At 40.6% G+C, this 20,829-nt stretch overlaps 1 protein-coding gene across 18 annotated transcripts in view, besides 1 other annotated feature; it reads left to right on the top strand.

Moving 5' to 3' along the window:
* The window catches only part of TRAPPC9 (trafficking protein particle complex subunit 9), a 730,855-nt gene that overhangs the window by 125,194 nt on the left and 584,832 nt on the right, over positions 1-20,829 (top strand). The gene's annotated exons all lie outside the window — the stretch shown is intronic.
* Positions 1,087-1,961: an enhancer, noted in NCBI's record as "OCT4-NANOG hESC enhancer chr8:141341524-141342398 (GRCh37/hg19 assembly coordinates)". NCBI's record gives its function as "activates a minimal SCP1, AML or CMV promoter by ChIP-STARR-seq in naive and primed H9 embryonic stem cells {active_cell/tissue: H9 hESC(naive and primed)}" and the evidence as "EXISTENCE:reporter gene assay evidence [ECO:0000049][PMID:30033119]".

The following is a 20,829-nucleotide window of genomic DNA, read 5'->3' as shown; positions in this document are numbered from 1 at the left end:
AACCTATGTATCTATATCTATATCTACATCTATATCTATATCTAGCTATCTACATATATATAGTTTTTATTATACAAGTAATATATGCTTCCTTTAGAAATCTTGGAAAACATAAACAGGAAAAAATTATGCATAATCCTATATAGGCAAGCCCTGTTAACATTTTAGTGTATTTCTTTTGTATTGTTTTCTGTTATTTTAAAAATTGGGTTAATTGCTTTCTTTCTTTTCATTCTTTTCTTTTTCTCTTTTTTTTTTTTGAGACAAAGTCTCGCTTTTTAGCCCAGGCTTGGGTGAAGTGGTATGATCTCGGCTCACTGCAACCTCTGCCTCCCGGGTTCAAGTGATTCTCTTGCCTCAGTCTCTGGAGTAGCTGGGACTACTGGCATGTGCCACTGTGTCCGGCTAATTTTCGTATTTTTAGTAGAGTTGGGGGTTTCACGATGTTGACCAGGCTGGTCTTGAACTCGTGATCCTCCCACCTGGCCTCCCAAAGTTCTGGGATTACAGGTTTGAGCCACTGTGCCCAGGCGGGTTAATTCCTTACATCGAATTTATTTTGTAAATATAATTCTGTATCCTGATTTTCCATGTGACATAACATTTTCCATATTGTTGCAGTCTTTATAAATGTCATTTTTAATGTTTGCATAAATTTGCATTATGCTGCTGTACCATAGTTTATCTAACCATTGCTTCATAGTTAGATGTGCAGATTCTAATAATTTATTATCTTTATTTTTTTAAAACTTTAAAATTTTTTATTTTAGTATTTTTAATTGATACAGTAATTGTATATGTTTATGTGGTACTGTGTAATGTTTTGATACACGTATATCATGTGTAATGATCAATTCAGGGTACTTTGCAAATCCATCTTCAAACATTTATCATTTCTTTGTGTTGGGAACATTTAGAATCCTCTCTTCTAGCCAACTGAAAATACACAAAAAATTGTTGTTACTTTTAGTCACCCTACAGTGCTATAGGACACTTGAATTTATTCTTTCTGTCTAGCTGTAATTTTGTCTCTGTTGACCAACCTCTCCCTATCCTTCCTTCCCCCAACCCTTCCCAGCCTCTACTCTCTCCTTATGAGATCAACTTGTTTAGCTTCCACATATGAGAGAGAACATGTGGTATTTGCCTTTCTGTGCCTGGCTTATTTTACTTAACATAATGCCCTTTAGGACATTAGGTTCAACCATGTCATAGTGAATCACAGAATTTCATTCTTTTTTTATGGCTGAATCACATTCCACGGTGTATATATAGCACATTTTCCTTATCTAGTCCTCTATTGATGGTCACTTGGGTTGATTCCATATCTTGGCTACTGTGACTTAGTGCTGCGGTAGACATGGGAGTGCAGGTATCTCTTTGACATCCTGATTTCTTTTCCTTTGGAAATCCCAGCAGTGGGATTGCTGGATCATGTGATAGTTCTATTTTTAGTTCTTTGAGGAACCTTCAAACTGTTTTCCATCATAACAGTACTAATTTACATTCCTATCAACAGCACCTAAGAGTTCCCCTTTCTCTGCACCCTCCTGTATTTGTTATCCTTTGTCTTTTTGATCACAGCCATTCTTGCTGGGGTGAGATGATCTCTCACTGTGGTTTTGATTTGCATTTCCCTGATGATTAGTGATGAGCATTGTTTCATATACCTGTTAGCCATTTTGTATGTCTTCTTTCGAGAAATGTCTATTCACGTCTTTTGCCTGCTTTTTCATGGGGTGGTGATGATGATGATGATGATGATGATTTTTTGCTGTTGAGTTCCTTTATATTCTGGACATTGGTCCCTTGTTGGATGAATAGTTTGCAAATATTTTCTCTCATTCTGCAGATTGTTGTTCACTGTGATGTTTCCTTTGCTGTGCAGAGGTTTTTTAGTTTGATATAATCTCATTTATCTATTTCTGTTTTTATTGGCCTGTGCTTTTGAGTCCTTATCCATAAAATCTTTGCTTAGACCAATGACCTGAAGTGTTTTCCCTATGTTTTTCTTCTATTAGATTTGTAGTTTTGGTTTTTACATTTAAGTCTTCAATCCCTTTTGAGTCAATTTTTGTATATAGTGGCACATAGAGGTCTAGTTTCATTCTTCTGCATACTTATATCCAGTTTTCCCAGCACCATTTATTGAAGAGATTGTCTTTTTCCCAGTGGATGCTCTTGACAACTTTGATGAAAATTATTTGACTGTGAAAACATGGGTTTATATCTGGGTTCTTTTTTTTTTTTTAATTGGTCTACAAGTCTGTTTTTATGCCAGTACCATGATGTTTTGCTTACTATAGCTTTGTAGTATATTTTGAAGTCAGGTAATGTGATGCCTCCTGCTTTGTTATTTTTTGCTCAGGATTGCCTTAGCTATTTGAGGATTTTTAAGGTTCCATATGAATTTTAGGATTTGTTTTTCTATTTCTGTCAAAAACATCACTGGTATTTTGATAGGGATTAGTTCTAGGATATCTGTGTTTTCTTTGCATTTTTTCATTTTGGGGCAGTCTGGGTGGGCAGCGTGACAAAATGAAAAAAGCAGAAAGTTTGAACTTAAAGCTTTGAGTTTGAATGTAATCTAGCAATTTATTACATGAATAGCCCCAAGAAAGTAATTTGAATTTGTAGATTGCTCTGGGTAGTACAGGTCTTTCTTCTTAATATAATTTCTTCTTCTGGGCATTATGTTAAGATCTCTAGAGATGTTAAAAATTTTTCTAGGCAGTGCTTGAAATAGATGTTTTTATAGTGACCTGATGGTTTAACACAATTACCTTTCATTTTGGTAGAACATGTTTATAAACCTGAAAGGAACAAGGAAAAATATTCAGTCTTTTGGTGCACTTGAATGATTGTTCATCAGGGCCTCCAACTGGTCACTCTGAAAATTAAGTGACTAGCAAATATGAAAAATTATTGACAGGAGGCAGTTAATGTGGCTCACTGCAAATTTATCTAAGTTAATCCACACTCTGTTAAGGAAATGCCTTGTTTTCTTGTTACATGACAGATCTTCTTCCATATCTCCTGGTTTGTCATATCATTAATATTTATAGTGGTGGCATGTGACTTTTTCAGCCTTTCTAGGTAGACCATTATGCTACCTGGATGTATATGCAGAATGAAGAAAAGCTGAGTTGATTTCTCTTGCTCTGTAAGATGCTTAACTTGCTGGACATGTTGGAGTGGCAGTTTCAGGATATCAGTCACATTTTGGGGCAATCTCGGTGGCAAAGTGACAAACTGAAGAAAGCAAAAAGCGTGAACATATAGCATTGAGGTGTTTTGTTTTGTTTTGAGACTGAGTTTCGCTCTTGTTGCCCAGGCTGGAGTGCAATGGCGCAATCTCGGCTCCCTGCAACTTCTGCCTCCCAGGTTCAAGTGATTCTCCTGCCTCAGCCTCCTGAGTTAGCTGGAATTACAGGTGCCCACCAGCACCTGGGTAATTTTTGTATTTTTTTAGTAGAGACGGGGTTTCACCACATTGGCCACGCTGGTCTCAAACTCCTGACCTCAGGTGATCTGCCCGCCTTGGCCTCCCAAAGTATGATTACAGGTGTGAGCCACCATGCCTGGCCGGTATTGAGTTTGAATATAATTTAGCTTCTTATTACCTTAATAACCCCAGGAAAGTAACATGACCTTTCCAAGCCTTAGATTCCGAAATGAGCACAAAAATGCCGAGGAGGTTGCTTAATATGGTAGAAAGAGCAATAGATTCAAGAAGCCTGGGGTTAAAATCTCAGCCTCACTTACTAGCAGTGTGGCCTTTGAAAAGATTTATAATATCTCTGATTTTCACTTTTCTCTTCCCTACAGTGGGGCTAATGATAATATTTGACTCACTGGATAAATGTAAATATTAAGTAAGGCAATGCAGGTGAGCCTCTAATGCAGCACTTGACTTCCAGACCGTTGTCGTGTGTGCTTGAAATGCCATGTGCTCCCTAGGAGACGAGCCATCGCTTTGTCTGCTCCTGTCCCATTTTTAATTTGTTGCTGCTGGGTTCCTGCATGGATGAAAGTTTTTTTGAAGGTCACAAATGACCACTTAACTCTCACGTATGGTGATCCCAACAGATGTTTCTCTCATATCCACCCCCATTTCTTTTCTTTCCAGAAGATCTCACCTTTTGGCCTCTTGAGTCTCATCTCGAACCTCTAGCATTCTTTCCAGATGTGTTTCTCACTGCCCCTCACCTCTGTGTTCCCCAGGATGTCATCCTTGGGCCCTCTGTTTTTCTTTGTCACCTTCACATTCTACCTGGGAGTGTTACCTCTGCTGATGTTCATGGTGCTCAGGGGTCCGCTTGTGCCCGGTATACTTTCCTAGTTACCCTAGTCTGGGTCTCTCCACCCTCCGGTGCTTTAGACTCAACCTGCTGGAGCTGCTGTCTTCCGACGAGCTTGCCCTGCCCTTCCTCTGACCTTGGGCTTCTGTCTCGGCCAGTGGCTCTCCTCCACCCGGTCCCCAAAGCCGTCACCCTCAGTGCCAGTCTTGTCTCTACCTCCTTCAGTTTCTGTGTCCAATCGAGCATCAAATCCTTTCACCCTAATTCGTAAATTATAACTATGCTAATTAGACTGTGGCCTCCTTGGTCATAGCTAAGCATCTCTAAAGCTCCAGGACCTTTTTTTAAAATTAAAAAAAAAATTATTTCCATAGGTTGTTGGGGAACAGGTGGTATTTGGTTACCTGAGTAAGTTCTTTAGTGGTGATTTCTGAGACCTGAGCAGTATACACTGAACCCAGTTTGTAGCCTTTTATCCTTCACCTGCTCCCACCCTTTCCCCCTGAGTCCCCAAAGTCCATTGTATCATTCTTGTGCCTTTGCATCCTCATAGCTTAGCTCCCACTTAGGAGTGAGAACATATGATGTTTGATTTTACATTCTTGAGTTACTCACTTGGAATGATAGTTTCCAGTCTCATCCAGGTTGCTTTTTATGTAAAGCTCCAGGACCTTACACCACATCTGACACATAACCATGCCTCAACGATTGATCATGTACGTATTTTGTTAGATTTCTACCTAAGTATTTTCCTTTTTTTGAGCTTGTAAGTGATACTGTTTTATTTTAAATTATTGTTATTAATTAATTAATTAATTAATTTTGTTTTTGAGACGGACTTTCGCTCTTTCGCCCAGGCTGGAGTGAAGTGGCATGATCTCGGCTTACTGCAACCTCCGCTCCCTGGCTTCAAGCGATTCTTCTGTCTGAGCCTCTTGAGTAGTTGGGATTATAGGCACCCACCACAATGCCCAGCTAATTTTTGTATTTTTAGTAGAGATGGGGTTTCACCATGTTGGCCAGGCTGGTCTCAAACTCTTGACCTCAGGTGATGCACCTGCCTTAGCCTCCCAAAGTGCTGGGATTACAGGCGTGAGCCACCGCGCCCGGCCAATTTTAAATTATTTTTACATTGATTTTGAAAACTGTGGTAAGATATACACAACACAAAATGTACCCTTTTAACTGTTTTAAGCGTAAAATTCAGTGGTATTGAGTACATACATTCACAGTGTGATGCAACCATCACCGCCCTCCATTTCTAGAACTTTTTCGTCACTCCAAACAGAATCTCTGTACGCATTACACAATAATTCTCATTCTCACTCCTCTGATCCTCCTGGCAACCATCATTCTACTTTTCCTCTTGATGAATTTGCCTATTTTAGGTACCTCATATAAGTGGAGTCATACAATATTTGTTCTTTTGTGTCTGACTTATTTCAATTAGCATGTTTTAAGGTTTATCTGTATGATAGCATTTATCAAAATTTCATTCCTTTTTAGGGCTGAACAATATTCCATTGTAGGGATAGACTACATTTTGTTTATCTGTTCATCAGTCAATGGACATTTGGCTTGTTTCTACCTTTTGGCCATTGTGAATGCTGCTGCTATGCACATTGGTCTGCAAGTATCTGTTTAAGTATCTATTTTCAATGGTTTTTGGTATATATGTAGTGGGAGTGGAATTGCTGGATCATATGGTAATTCTATGCTTAACTTTTTGAGGAACTGCCAAACTGTTTGGCACAGCAGATGTACTATTTTACATTCCTTCCAGCAGTGCATGAGGGTCAGATGATTCTTGTCTTGTCGTGTCTTGTCTTGTCTTTTTTTTTAGATGTCCTGTCGCCCAGGCTGGAGTGCAGTGGCGTGATCTCAGCTCACTGCAACCTCCGCCTCCCAGGTTCAAGCAATTCTCCTGTCTCAGTCTCCCGAGTAGCTGGGACAACAGGCTCACACCACCATGCCCTGTTAATTTTTGTATTTTTAGTAGAGACGGGGTTTCACCATATTGGTCAGGCTGGTCTTGGAACTCCTGACCTCAGGTGATCCGCTCACCTCAGCCTCCCAGAGTGCTGGGATTACAGGCATGAGCCACCGCGCCCGGCCTGGATGATTGTTTTTTGCATCACTATGTCATGTTTCTTTTTTGTGACCAAAAGAGAAAATAAGTAATATACATTTTATTTTATTTTTTTGAGACAGGGTCTCGCTCTGTCACCAAGGCTGGAGTTCAGTGGCACAATCAGGACTCACTGCAGCCTTGACCTCCTGGGCTCAAGTGATCCTCCCACCTCAGCCCTCAGAGTAGCTAGGACTACAGGCACATGCCATTACGCCCAGCTAATTTATTTTTTTTTTGAATTTTATTAGAGACAAAGTCTCGTGTTGCTCAGACTGGTTTTGAACTCCTGAGCTCAAGTGATCCTTCTGCCTTGGCTTCCCAAAGTGCAGGGATTACAGGCGTGAGCCATCACACCTGGCCATAATGTACATCTTAAAGTCATCATTGATGATGTTTGTCTGAGTGAAGGGGGAAAATAAGTTGTTGAGACATTAGTATGTCAGGAATCACTGGTCATGGTTGCAGAGCATTGTAGGTGGTGGCAGGCAAAGCGGGTCCTTTGATCATGGTGGGGGGATGTAAAGCATTTCTAGATCACTGCTACTTATGAGGCACATAGGCTACCTGTGCACTATGTGGCCTGCCTCTGCATCACCAAATCCAAATATGACAGAGCGGAGCACAAGGCAGAGTCACCAGGGAAGGTTCCCCAAAAAGTAATGACTGCACAGGTCTTTAGGTGCCTTCCCTGCAGTAACCCCCAACTTCTTCTTCTTTTTTTTTTTTTTTTTAGTAGAGACGGGGTTTCACTGTGTTAGCCAGGATGGTCTCGATCTCCTGATCTCATGATCCGCCCGCCTCGGCCTCCCAAAGTGCTGGGATTACAGGCATGAGCCACTGCGCCTGGCCAGTAACCCCCGACTTCTTAGAAACTACCCGGATTTCCATTTGTATATCAGATTTCCATTTGTATATTTCCATTTGTGTATCCATTTGTATATCAGCTTCTTTAATAAAGATATACAAATTGCAGTTTTTAAAAGGCTTCGGTGTACTCTTATTGTATAGTGCTTTGGGGGTGCCAGCTGAGAACTCATGGTGTTTTTGGGGGGGTCTCTCTTCCTCAGTGGATCCTGAATGCTGCTGTTTATCTCTTTAGTTCTGTGAGACTGCTGAAGACTCCATGCTACTTTTACTGTCTAAGTTTATTCTTTTAGTTATTTGTCAGGTTTTGGTGTCAGGGTTGTGCTGGCTTCATAACACAAGTTGGGAAGTATTCGCTCCTTTGTTTTCTGAAAGAGTTTGTATGAGATTGATATTATTTCTTCTTTAAATGTTTGACAGAACTTACGAGTGAAGCCATCTGGGATGGAAATTTTTGTGGGAGTTTGGATTACAGATTCAACTTCTTTAATAAATACAGGACTATTAAGATTGTCAATTTTTTCTTGTGTCATTTTACCCCCAAGGAGTTTGTCTATTTCACCACATTTGTCAAATGTATAGGCATATGGTTGTTTATACTGTTCCCTTATTATCCTCTTAATGAGCGTAGGATCTGCCTCCTTTTTATTCCTGATATAGATGATCTGTGTTTCTCTTCTAGGGGTTTATCATTTGTTTTCAAAGAACCATTGACTTTGTTGATTTTCTTTATTGTTTCCTGTTTCCTATTTCATTAGTTATTTTCTTTCAACTTTATATTTAATTTTATGTCTTTTTCTAGCTTCTACAGTGCAGACTTAGATATTGGTTTGGGACCTTTGTTTTTTTCTAATATGAACATTTAAGGCTATAAATTTCCCTCTAAGCACTGCTTCAGGTACATCTCACAAATATTGACCTGTTGTGTTTTTATTACCATTCAGCTGGAAATATTTTTAACATTTCGCTTTTGTTTTTATTTTTGACGTGTGTATGCATTGCTTACTTTTCAGGTATTTGCAGCCGTTGTGGAAATGGTATTGTTATTGATTTCTGTTTTAATACTGTAATGGTCAGAACATATTCTGTGTGATTTCAGTCTTTTAAAATGTATTGAGATGTGTTTTATGGTGTGGCATTTGGTCTGTCTTGGTGGATTTTCCGTGAGTACTTGAAAGGAACTTATATTCTGCAGTTGAGGGGTATAGTGTTGTATGAATGTCAGTTGAAGAAGTTATTTAATAGTTTGTTTAAATCTTCCTTATCATTGTTGTCTATTCTTTTACTTAAAAAGTTTTTAAATTTCACTTATTTATTTTTGAGACAGGGTGTCCCTCTGTTGCTCAGGCTGGAGTGCAGTGGCACGATCGTGGCTTACTGCAGTCTCTGCTTCCTGGGCTCAAGTGATTTTCCAGCCTCAGCCTCCTGAGTAGTTGGGCCCATGGGCACGTACTACCATGCCCGCCTAATTTTCTTATTTTTTGTAGAAACAGGGCTCACCATATTGCCCAGGCTGGTCTCGAACTTCTGGGCTCAAGCAATCCTCCTGCCTTGGCCTCCCAAAGTGCCGGGATTACAGATGTGAGCCACGATGCTTGGCCTCTTTTATTTATTTTAACAAAGGGTTGTTAAAGCCTCCAACTTTAAAAAAATCATGAATCTTTCTGTTCTTATTTCTATCAGGTTTTACTTCATGTATTGTAAAGCTCTGTTATTAAGTACATACAAATTTAGTATTGTATCTCCTTGATGAATTGCCTTTTTCATTTTGAAATGTGTCCATTCATCCCTTTGCTTACACTGAAATCCCCTTTGTCTGATATTAATGTTGCCACACCAGGTTTATTATGCTTATTACTTGTGTTCGTGTGGTATATCTTTTCCCCCCCATCCTTTTATTTTCAGTCTGTGTCTTCATATTTAAAGGTTGTTTCCTGAAAATCAAACATCGTATGTTCTCACTCGTAAGTGGGATCTAAGCTGTAAGGATGCAAGGCAAAAGAATGATACAACGGACTTTGGGGACTCCGGGGAAAGGGTGGGAGGGGGTGAGGGATAAAATACTACAAATTGGGTACAGCGTATATCGCTAGGGTAATGGGTGCACCAACATCTCAGAAATTACCACTAAAGAACTGATTTATGTAACCAAACACCACCTGTTCCCCGAAAACCTATGCAAATAAAAAAAAATATATTTTTTAAAAAAGTTTGTTTCCTGAGAGTATAAAGTATATATAGTTGGATCTTGGGTTTTTTATCGAGTTTTGTGTGGATGGGTTCAAGTCTACCATCTTGTATTTGTTTTCTGTTTGTCATATCTGTTTTTTTCCTCTTCTTTTTTCTCCTTTTATGCCTTTATTTGGGAGAATAAAATATATTTTGTTCTGTGGAAAAACACACTCAAAGTGTTTTTTCTGTTCTCTCAACATGACAACCAACACAGAAAATTTCTGTGACCTCTGGTTGCCAAAATGTGTTTAAGGATTTCTTCCCCTTAATAACCAGTCAGTCAGTTTTCCAACAGATACCAGCTGGGTGTCCTCTAATTTACTTCTGATACCGTCTATCTGAAGATAGTGTTGGATCCCACAGATTGAGAGTCCAGTTCCATGAGACGGTTCCCCGCCACCCTTTCAGATACCCTTAGAGGGCCCCAGGTTATGACCTCTGTTTCTGATTGACTGTCTGTGAATCAGAGATTCTACCGCCTCCTCCTTGGGTTTGAGTAATTTGCTAGAGCAACTCTCAAAACTGAAGGAAACACTTATGTTTACTGGTTTATTGTAAAGGATATTACAAAGGATACAGATGAAGAGATGCCCAGGGCGAGGTGTGGGAGAACGGGCTCAGAGCTGTCATGCCTCTCCAGGTGTACCACCCTCCAGGAGCCCCTAGCTGTTATTTGCAAGCTCTCCAAACCCTGTCTTTCTGGGTTTTTATGGAGGCTTCATGACATAGCCATGACTCGTTAGACCACTGGCTGCTGATCAACTCGACTTTCAGTCTCTCTCCCGTCCCCCGTGGTGGGGCTCTAATCATGCCTTGGTCTTTCTGGTGACCAGCCTTATCCTGAAGTTGCCTGGGGACTGCCAGCCTTTGGTCAACTCAGTGCACAAACATACATCACTTTGGAGATTCTAAGAATTTAAGGAGTTGTATGCCAGGCAAGGTAGTCAAAGGCCAAGTAGATATTTTACGATATCATGCTTGTATTCTACTTTGTCTTTTCTGTTGGCTTTTTTGTTTTTTGAGACAGGATCTCACTCTGTTTCCCAGGCTGGAGTACAGTGGCCCGTAATCATAGCTCACTGCAGCCTTGAACTCCTGGGCTCAAGCAACCCTTCCACCTCAGCCTCCTGCATAGTTGGGAATACAGGTGCACACCACCATGCCTGGTTAATTTTTACATTTTTTTTTTTTTGTAGAGATGGGGGTCTTGCTACGTTGCCCAGGTTGGCCTTGAACTCCTGGCCTGAAGCAATCCTCCTGCCTCAGCCTCCAGAAGTGCTGGGAACACAGGTGTGAGCCACCGCATCCGGCTTCTGTTGGCTTTTTAAGCCATATCTCTATTTAAAAAGTGCTTGCTCTGGAGATTATAATATGCATTTTTAACATAACCCCCTTCAAATATTGTACTACTTCCTCTTTTGGACTTGTATTAAAAAGCATAAAGTAAATATTTACCCTCCTCAAAAGGCTTGCCACCAGGGGGGTGGGGCATTGCCAATCTGATCTGCAGTTGAGCTGGGTGTAGCCTTGGTCCTAGCTCTCCTTGGGGTCATTTCATCTTTAGCTTCAGGTGTTTGGTCAGGATTTGACCTTCTGTTGGCTTGGGGTCTGGGCACAGAAAAGACTGGAGTTTGGTTTGCAGCCAGTCACCAGCTTTCCATCTTTGTGCTTTGAGACTGGATGCTGGATTTGTGGGTTTGGGGGAGTTTTCTCTGATCTCCAGCCCTATCTCTGGCTTTCTGCATTTTGGGGGCTCTCTCTTGGTCCTGCCCCCAGCCTTCCACAGGGTACTGCCTTGCACTCAGTGAAGGGTCCTGATGCCTTGGAGGGGTTTCTTCAAGCTTTGCTGCTTGGCCCTAACCTTTGGCAGCCATGGTCTTGGAGGAGGAATCTCGGTTGTTCTCTTGTCTACCAAGCTCAGCAAGCCTCTGCTTTGTGCTTGGAGAAAGCATAGTGCCCCTCAGGGCATCTGCCAGCTCTCTGCCCTGCCTGGATTTCTGTGGCAGCTGCCAGGCATCTAGGGGAGGTCCTGAGTGCCTGGGACTGTCCTCCTAGCTGTCCTGCCTGCCCTCAGCCTCAGTGTACTGCACGTTGCCCTCTGCAAAAGCCTGCAGGAGGCGTTGGAGAATGGTAGATTTGCCCATGGGAGTCTACTCTGTTGCACCCACCTACATGCAGGCGGTGAAAGTGTCTTCCAAGTTCAGCCCTTTTCTCCTTCCCCCGTTCTCTGCCCAATTCTCCCTTCTCTTGCTCCTCTGCCAGGGACAAAGCAGCTGTTGGGCCCTGTCTCCTAGGAAGAGCTTGCTGCTTCCTGGAATTTAGCTCATGCCTGTTCCTTTGCATCCTCAGCTCTCTGATGGATTTTTCAAGAAGCCCCTTTTACAGCTTATGCATCTCATTCTCATTGTTAGTGCGCAAAGGCCATCTGGTGCCACTTTTTAGAGTTGAACAGCAACTCTGCTTTTGAGGCAGTCTTGGATGGACCTGGCAGCCTTCCGTCCTGCGGAGCTGAATGGGAACAAGCGAGGGGGAGCTCATGCTGAGCTCCGGGTTCACTGTCACTACTCCTGGCTCCTCCTGGCACCTGGCTCCTCAGGGTCTGCCTCACTTGGTGGCTCCAGCCCCAGCCATGGCTCTCCTAGCCCCATGAGACTGCCTGGAGCGCTCTGCCGGCTTCTCTGCCGCAGGCAGTGGTTCTCCCCTGTTGAGAATCTGCACCACTCCCGGGGTGAAGTGGTGCCACAGGCAACTGTGCTCCTCTCAGCGAGCTTCCCTTCTGTCTGGAATCTTGCAAGTCCTCCATGTCTTGGCCACTCTCCAGTGCCCCCTCCTCTTTTTGACACTTTATCTGGCTCTTTAAGTTACTGATGGGAGTGCTGTTCTGCTAGAAGCTGCTCTAGAAGTGGAAGTTGCTACAGGTGTACTCGTAATGGGCACTTAATGGGATAGTAACCTTTTCATGACAGTGGGATGCTATTGGATGTACAAGGTTAGTGTAGAAAGATCGTGAGATGTAGGGTTTGTAGAGGGCCTGACTTTGAGATCCAGCTTCACAGATGACTGGTTTTCTGACTTTGGGCTAATCACTTCCTCTCCCTAGGCCTCAAGTATGCCAGTAATAAAATGGGGATAACAATGACACCGTATTTGTTAATGGAGAATAATACTCTTCACAAACCCTCAAGCCTCTTTTGTAAGAAGGGAGTTTGGCTAGGTAAATGTGGAGAGGCAGAGTGACTTATCTGATTGCTGTTGGTCCCGATAACCGGGTGCTGGATTTGACTTGGCTGGGCCCTGCTTGGTCTTGGGAGTTCGTTGGTCACAGAGCCTGAGTTCCCGTCTGCAGCTCTGTGCTGGACGTTTGGCGTGGCCTCCCCTGAGTGGGGCTAGGGGTGACCAGTTCAGTGCAGCCTGTGTCTGGGAAGGAAGCTGTGTCTGCCCAGTTCTTGGTGTTAGTGAGGAATTTCAGTTTCTAAAAAACCTTAGGTCATGTCCTTCAACATAGCCTGTGTTGGTACAAATAAAGATGCGTCAGCTCCATCTTTTCCTTTTGTTTTGTTTTCCACTTATGTAGACACCAGGGGACAAAGCCCTGCTTAGTGGAAGCCTCCAAAGAGACCTCAGCATTGTTATGTTGAAAGATCAATATCATTATTCCTAAGAAAACCATTCAAATACTAACTGTGGTATTATTTCTATAAGTGAAAGTACCAGAATCGATTGTGAAAATGTAACTTCAGATATTTGATCAAATCACACCTGTACTTTTTCCTCCGTGTTTTCTTTTTCCTTCTTCCTTAGGTTTTTCCTTCTGGATTTAGAAAAAAAAGATGTACTTCTTTCCCCTCTTTCTATTCTCTACCTGTTCAGAGTACCATAACTGACTGAATGCAAGCCTGGTTGTCTCCGATTATTACTTAGCAGAGACAAGAATAACTGTGAAATCGTGATGCACTGGTTTTCAAGCCAGTGTCCATTTAAATGGCCGTAAATCATTTCTGATCCAAAGTTTTGGTGATCATATTTTCTCCTTCTGTAAGAACAATATAGTTAAGTAATAACTAGGCTTTCATTAAAAATGTTCTGTTTGGGCCAGGCGTAGTTGCTCACTCATGTAATCCCAGCACTTTGGGAGGCCGAGGTGGGTGGATCACTTGAGTCCCAGAATTCAAGACCAGCCTGAGCAACATGGCAAAAACCCATCTTTACAGAAAATATGAAAAATTAGCTGGGTGTTGTGGTGCACACCTGTAGTCCCAGCTATCCGGTAGGCTGAGGTGGGAGGATCGCTTGAGCCTGGGAGGTGGAGGTTGCAGATCGCGCCACTGTACTCCAGCCTAGGCGACAGAGCAAGACCCTGTCTCAAAAAAAACAAAAAGTTGGCCGGGCACGGTGGCTCAAGCCTGTAATCCCAGCACTTTGGGAGGCTGAGGTGGGCGGATCAGGAGGTTAGGAGATCGAGATCATCCTGGCTAACACGGTGAAACCCCGTCTCTACTAAAAATACAAAAAAAATTAGCCAGGCCTGGTGGCGGGTGCCCGTAGTCCCAGCTACTCGGGAGGCTGAGGCAGGAGAATGGTGTGAACCCGGGAGGCGGAGCTTGCAGTGAGCCGAGATCGCGCCACTGCACTCCAGCCTGGGCGACAGAGCAAGACTCCATCTCAAAAAAAAAAAAAAAAAAAAAGTTCAAAATAACTTTCAAGGGCATTAGGTGCTCTAATTTGACTAAAATCATTGTTGGATAATCTGATCAAAAATGGAAGAAGATGGATTGATTTTTAGTGACATAAGTTGAGGAATCATCACCTCCCACTAACCAAATCATATGCTGTGAACATGTCAAATTTTTCACAAGCTTTTCTCCAGCTTGGCATGTGGAACAGACATCAGCAGCCACCACGGCCTTGTGTCCTTTTATTCCTCTTATGGTAACACTGGGTATATGTGGTCAGGCTTCATATTTTGGAACAGGAAGACTCGGTCAACTCTTGATCTGAATCCTAACTCTGTTCCTCTGTATGACCATGAGAAAATAATTTCAGTTCTCCAAGCCCATTAAACTTTATTGCTGTGTCCATCAACAGATGAATGCATAAAGAAAATGTGGTATGTACACACAATGGAATACTATACACCTGTAAAAAGGGAAGAAATTCTGTTATTTGTGACAACATGGATGGAACTGGAGAGCATTAGGCTAAGTGAAATAAGCCAAACACAGAAAGACAAATACTGTATGTTCTCACTTATATGTGGGATTCAAAACAATTGAACTCATAGAAGCAGAGAGTAGAATGGTGGTTAGCAGAGGCTGGGAGGTAAGTGGAATGGGGAGATGATGGTCAAAAGGTAGAAAGCCTCAGTTAGACAGGAGGAGTAAGTTGACTTTTTTTGAGATCTGTTGCACAGCATGGTGAATATGGCTAAGAGTTGAGTGCTGTACATTTCAATATTACTAAAGGAACAAATTTCAAATGTTCTTATCACAAAAAATGTTAAATATTTCAGGTGATGGACATGTTAGCTTGATTTCGTCATTTCACATTGTATTAAAAATCATAACACTTTGTATCCTATAAATACATGCAATGATAATTTGTCAAAATATAATAAAAATTATTGCTATGAAACATTTTCAAACATAAAGGTAAAAAGAATTGTAAAATGAATCCTCATATATCCATCACCCGGATTCAGTGGTTATCAAGACTTTTACACATTTACTTCATCTCTTGCTTTTTAAATTTGCTGAATTATTTTAAAGAAAATCTCGGAGACATATCATTTCAGACCTTCATACTTTAGTATGCATTGCTAAAAAATGAGCATTTTCTTATATAACTACAATATTATACTTAAAACATTAATAATTATTTTTTGGTGACATTTGATACCAATCCATAATCAAATGTCCAGGGTTGTTCCTGAGTTCATCTTTATGAACTTTAAAAGGGGGATCATAATGCCTTTCCCCACTTCTTTGGCAGGTATTTTGTAAGAGGGTATTATATGCCTATTTTGGATAAAAAATAATGAAGTTTGTTATTAATATATACCAGAATCCCTTGCCTTAAAGATTTTATAGTCTAAAGAACATAGTACAATATTTGGCACATCGTAAGTGCTCAGTAAATGTAATTGTGGGTAGGGACATGACTTTCTTCCTTTTAAGGAGCTTATAGTCCAAATCTTTTATTTTTCGTTGTTAAACTTAAAAAAAAATTAAAGCAGAAATCACTTATAATCTTATCACTGTGAAAACTTTGTAAGTTGTCCTGTCCTTTGTAAAGCCCTTCAGAGACCATGAGAATCCAGTAGCAAAGAGCACTTCTAGCCTCTGGGTTTTAGTCTCTAAACACTTCTTTCCACTAAAGGGAATGAGAGCTCCTTGGAGAAGTGATTTAATTCTAGGCCTGGGGCTGGATATGAACCAGAAACAAAGGGATCAAAGAATAATGGGACCTTATCCAAAGGACACAGGAACCAACCAGAAGGGACTCCCACTGGCCAAAGATGGTGCCTACATCAAAAAAGAAGAAAGCTTTCAAATAAACAGTCTAACACTGCATCTTAAGGAATTAGAAAAACAAGAACAGACTCAACCAAGGTTAGTAGAAAGAAGGAAATAATAAAGATCAGAGTGGAAATAAATGAAATAGAGATGAGAAAAACCATACAAAAGATTAATGAAATGAAGAGCTGGTGTTTTGAAAAGCTTAACAAACCTTTAGCTAGATTATGAAAAAAAGAATAAATGTCAAATCAATAAAATCAGAGATCAAAAAGGAGAAATTTACAACTGATAACACAGAAACATAAAAGATCACAAGAGACTATTACAAACAATTATATGCCAACAAACTCAGTGACCTAGAAGACGTGGATAACTGCGTGGACACATACAATCTGCCAAGAATGAATCATGAAGAAATAGAAAATCTGAACGACCAAAAACGAATAAGAAAATTGAATCAGTAATAAGAAGTCTCCCATCAAAGAAAAGCCCGGGACCTGAGGGCTTCACTGCTGAAACATTTAACAAAGAACTAGTACCAATTTTTCTCAAACTACTTCCAAACTCATTCTGTGAAGCCAGCATTACTTTGGTATACTAAAACCAGAGAAAGACACACCATCAACAAAAGAAAACTAATCTCAAAAGACAGATATCCCTGATGAAGATTAGATGCAAAAATCTTCCACAAAATACTGGCAAACAAAATTCAACAGCACATTTGAAAGATCTTCCACCATGATCAAGTGGAATTCATCCCAGGGATGCGAACATGGTTGAACATAGATGTGACATATCACATTAACGGAATGAAGAACCAAAACCATATTATCATTTCTATAGAAGCAGAAAAAGCATTTGACAAAATTCAGCATCCCTTCATGATAAAAACTCTCAACAAATTAGGTGTTAAGAATACTCACAAATAGTTTCCAAATTCTGGAAGAGTCAGGTAGAATGAAACAAATATGTTCTAAATTTTGTTCATAGGAGTACACTCAATCATTAAAAGCTGTTAATAGCTCAAAAGAAAAGTTTCCTTGACTCTGAAAAAACAAAGGACCAGCAACGTTTTAAGCAAAAAATCAAAAAGATTACTTCAGTCTTGTATTAGTTCAGTCTGTAGTTAATTCCCATTCTGCTTGATATTCCTGAACATTTCAGTTCTCCATGAGTCCTGAAAGTTTTTCTTCTATTCTGATGTCACAGTCTCCAAAGTTATCAGAAACTTGTATTCAACAGCACCTGGTAGAGTTTTATAGCTGATTATAAAACCACCTTCTAAAGACCAAAACAGACAACAATTGTCTGTGGATGACAAAAGGTTTTAGGGCAGCCATAGTCAAAGATACAATCCATAAGGAAATTTGTTACCTCTGTGGCACACAATAATTTAACATAACAATTATAATTATTACTGATAATGTACACTAAGTCATATCAGAATTATAGGAGTTTCCCATGATTTTGGAACACATACCAATAACATATTTGTGTAAATATAGCCTAAAGAAAACTAAACACCATTTCATATTTGACAGTGTTTCCTGTGTAATTTTTATACCAAATAAGACAAATTATGTCACTTTTGGACTTTAGGGAACCTAGTATCTTAAAGGATTAATTAGTTCAGAAAAAGATATAATTTATAATTTGATTTTGGAAAGGTCAAAGGTTTAAAACACTTATATCACAGATCATTGTAAAATAAGTCATTCATTTGACCAAAGTAATAACTCAAGGATTTTTTTAGAAAGGTGAAAACCTTCGTTCTTTGAGAAAGAAGCCTTAATTTTCCAAACAATATTTCCTAATAAAATAGCATGAAACCAATTAAATTTGTTTTTCAAAATTTTATAAACTATAAAATTTTAATCTTGAACACAAGATATAACTTTCATAAGCTTTTTATAATCTTTATAACCTTTACTAAGGAGTTGGTTAATGCTTCAAGAAGACCTTGTTAATCTGACACAGGGGCTCATATGCTGGTCTTGCATCAGTGTGTCTTTGACAATAATGATTAATTTATAGAGAAACTGAACTTATTTTATCTCTCAAAATCAGCCCTTAAATCTCACATGCCCACCAAAAAAAAAAAAAAAAAAAGACATACAAATGGCCAAAAGATGTATGAAAAAATGCTTAACATCACTAATCATCAGGGAAATGCAAATGAAAACCGCTATGAGAGATCACCTTTCTCCAGCTGGAATACCTATTATCAAAAAGTCAAAAGATGAAATGTTGGTGAGGAGGTGAAGAAAAGGGGTTCTTTACACGCTATTGGTGGGAATGTAAATTAGTACGGCCATTATGTTAAACAGTATGGAGGTTCCTCAAAAAACTTAAAAATAGAACCACTGTATGATCTTCCATTCCGCTACTGAGCATATATCCAAAGGAAATGAAGTCAGTGTCGAAGGGGTGACTGCATGCCTGCATTTATTGCAGCACTGTTCAAATAGCCAAGATACGGAATCAACCTAAGTGCCATTCAGCAGATGAATGGATAAAGAAAATGTGATATAGATACACAGTGGGATACCATTCAGCCATAAAAAAGAATTAAATCCTGTCATTTGCAACAACACAGATGGACCTGGAGGGCATATGTTAAGTGAAAAAAGCCAGGCACAGAAAGACAAATCCCTCATGGTCTTCCTCAGGTGTGAAATTTTTAAACGTTTGTCTCATGGAATTAGCAGAATAGAGGTTAGAAGAGTCTGGGGATGGTTGGGAGAAGGGAGATGGGGAGAGGATGGACAGTGGATACAATGCTCTAGTTAGGAGAAGTAAGTTCTGGTATTCTAATGCACGGTTGGGTGACTATAGTTCACAAAAAGGTATATTTCAAAAGATCTAGAAGAGAGGAATTTGAATGCTCTTATCACAAAGAACCGATAAATGTTTGATGCAGTGGATACGCTGATGACCCTGATTTGATTGTTATACAGTAAATGCATTAAAACATCATACTGTACCCCAGAAATATGTGCAATTATTATGTATCCATTAGAAATAAAAAAGGATGTGATAACAATCAATGGAAACATCAAAGAGATAAAAATCCATAGGTATATAATGATACTAAACAATAAACAAAACACATTGGTCATTACTGGAGTTTCACAGGGCAATAGTTTTCCACTCAGTAAATAAAGGGAAAGACTCAACCGTTTATTAATGTCTGTGTTGTCTGCGTTCCAGGATAACCAAATGATTGATGAGGAAAAAATCCTTCCTTATAAACAAATTCTAGCTTCTAAGTGCAGAGGAATTAGAGAATTAGAAAATCACCAGTTTGTAATTCCTGATGAAATAATAGATCTGGCAACAATTTATAGCCGACACTTGAATCCTTTAGGAGAAGGTGGATGGGGCCTTTGCACTGGATGGGCCATGCTGACAATTGGGCATAAGCGTTTGACTCTAGAAACCCCACTGAAATGGCGATGGGGTCATATGGCAGTAGGGGAAAGCCAAGAAGCAACCCCCATTCCCTGTCCCTAGCAGGAGCACCACACGGCAGTAGGCGCTGCTGAAAATCATTTACAATTGATTACATATCCGCAGATCGCTTCTGCCCCTGCAGCTGGCGACGGTCCCTTTTCCACCCCAGCAGAAGATTAGCATTTGACTCCCTTCAGGGAGTCAGCAGGCACAGCGGAGAGGTGTGCCCTGCTACGCTCATGGGGAGTAAGTGAATATTGAGGCATCCCCAACCTGGCCTTCCACAAAGCTCTGAGAGTGCTCACAGCCAGGCTATATCCCTACATAGGACATTCCTCCACAGCATAGTGACCAGACCTAAAGCACAAACACGGGGGTTCTCTAATGAAATGGCACAGCCAGACCACGCTGCGGTGAAGCAGCCTCCCCTGTGCTACTCAGTGTGTACGTTATTTTCTGTCTAGAAATGCCATTCAGAGCTTAGCCGAGTGATACACTGTGGTGCCTTTCCTTTCTTGGATAACGGTGCAAGTGGCATGAGGCACCACAAATAGATCCCTTTATTTCAGCAGCATTTACCGAGAGTGTGTATGGGGTGGTAGAATTCAACTGAATAGGATACCTCAACCATAAGTGCTCTGCCTAACATTAGGCAAATTAGATAATATACATGATATCAGCTGGAGCCCTTTGGGAGATTTTTATAGATTGAGAATGATTTGGTTATTTAAAGGCTTTTTTCATGTTTCAGATTAACATTGTTGTGTTGTATTCAAAAGTAATTCTGGTCACTTTTCTGCTCTGCTCTCTGGCTTCCTAAGAATGAGGGAGGCTGGGTGTGATGGCTCATGCCTGTAATCCCAGTACTTTGGAAGGCCAAGGTGGGGGGATCACTTGAGCCCAGGAGTTGGAGACTAGCCTGGGCAATGTAGTGAGACCTCATCTCTACCCAAAATTAAAAAATCAGCCAAGCATGGTGACACATGCCTGTAGTCTCAGCTGCTTAGAAGGCTGAGATGGGAGGATTGCTTGAACCTGGGAGGCGGAGGTTGCAGTGAGCTGAGATTGTACCTCTGCACTCCAGCCTGGGAGACAGAGTGAGATCCTGTTTCAAAAAAAAAAAAAAAAAAAGAAGAAGAAGAAGAAGAATGCGTAGGCACAGAAAATTCCTATGGTAGCAGTTTAACAATTAATACATGTGCCTGAGCTCTATGAAGCCCTTGCCTTGATATTTATTATTTATGGTCACCAGCCTCAGTGGAGCACTTGGCTTCACTTTACAGCTACTTACCTGCTCTTTGTCCACTCCAGTGCAGCTATATGATAATGATGA

Source organism: Homo sapiens, chromosome 8, assembly GCF_000001405.40.
Source record: "Homo sapiens chromosome 8, GRCh38.p14 Primary Assembly".
In the NCBI taxonomy this organism is placed as follows: domain Eukaryota; kingdom Metazoa; phylum Chordata; class Mammalia; order Primates; family Hominidae; genus Homo; species Homo sapiens.
Note: the sequence above shows the minus strand (reverse complement) of the source record. Positions and strands in the feature narration are given on the sequence as shown.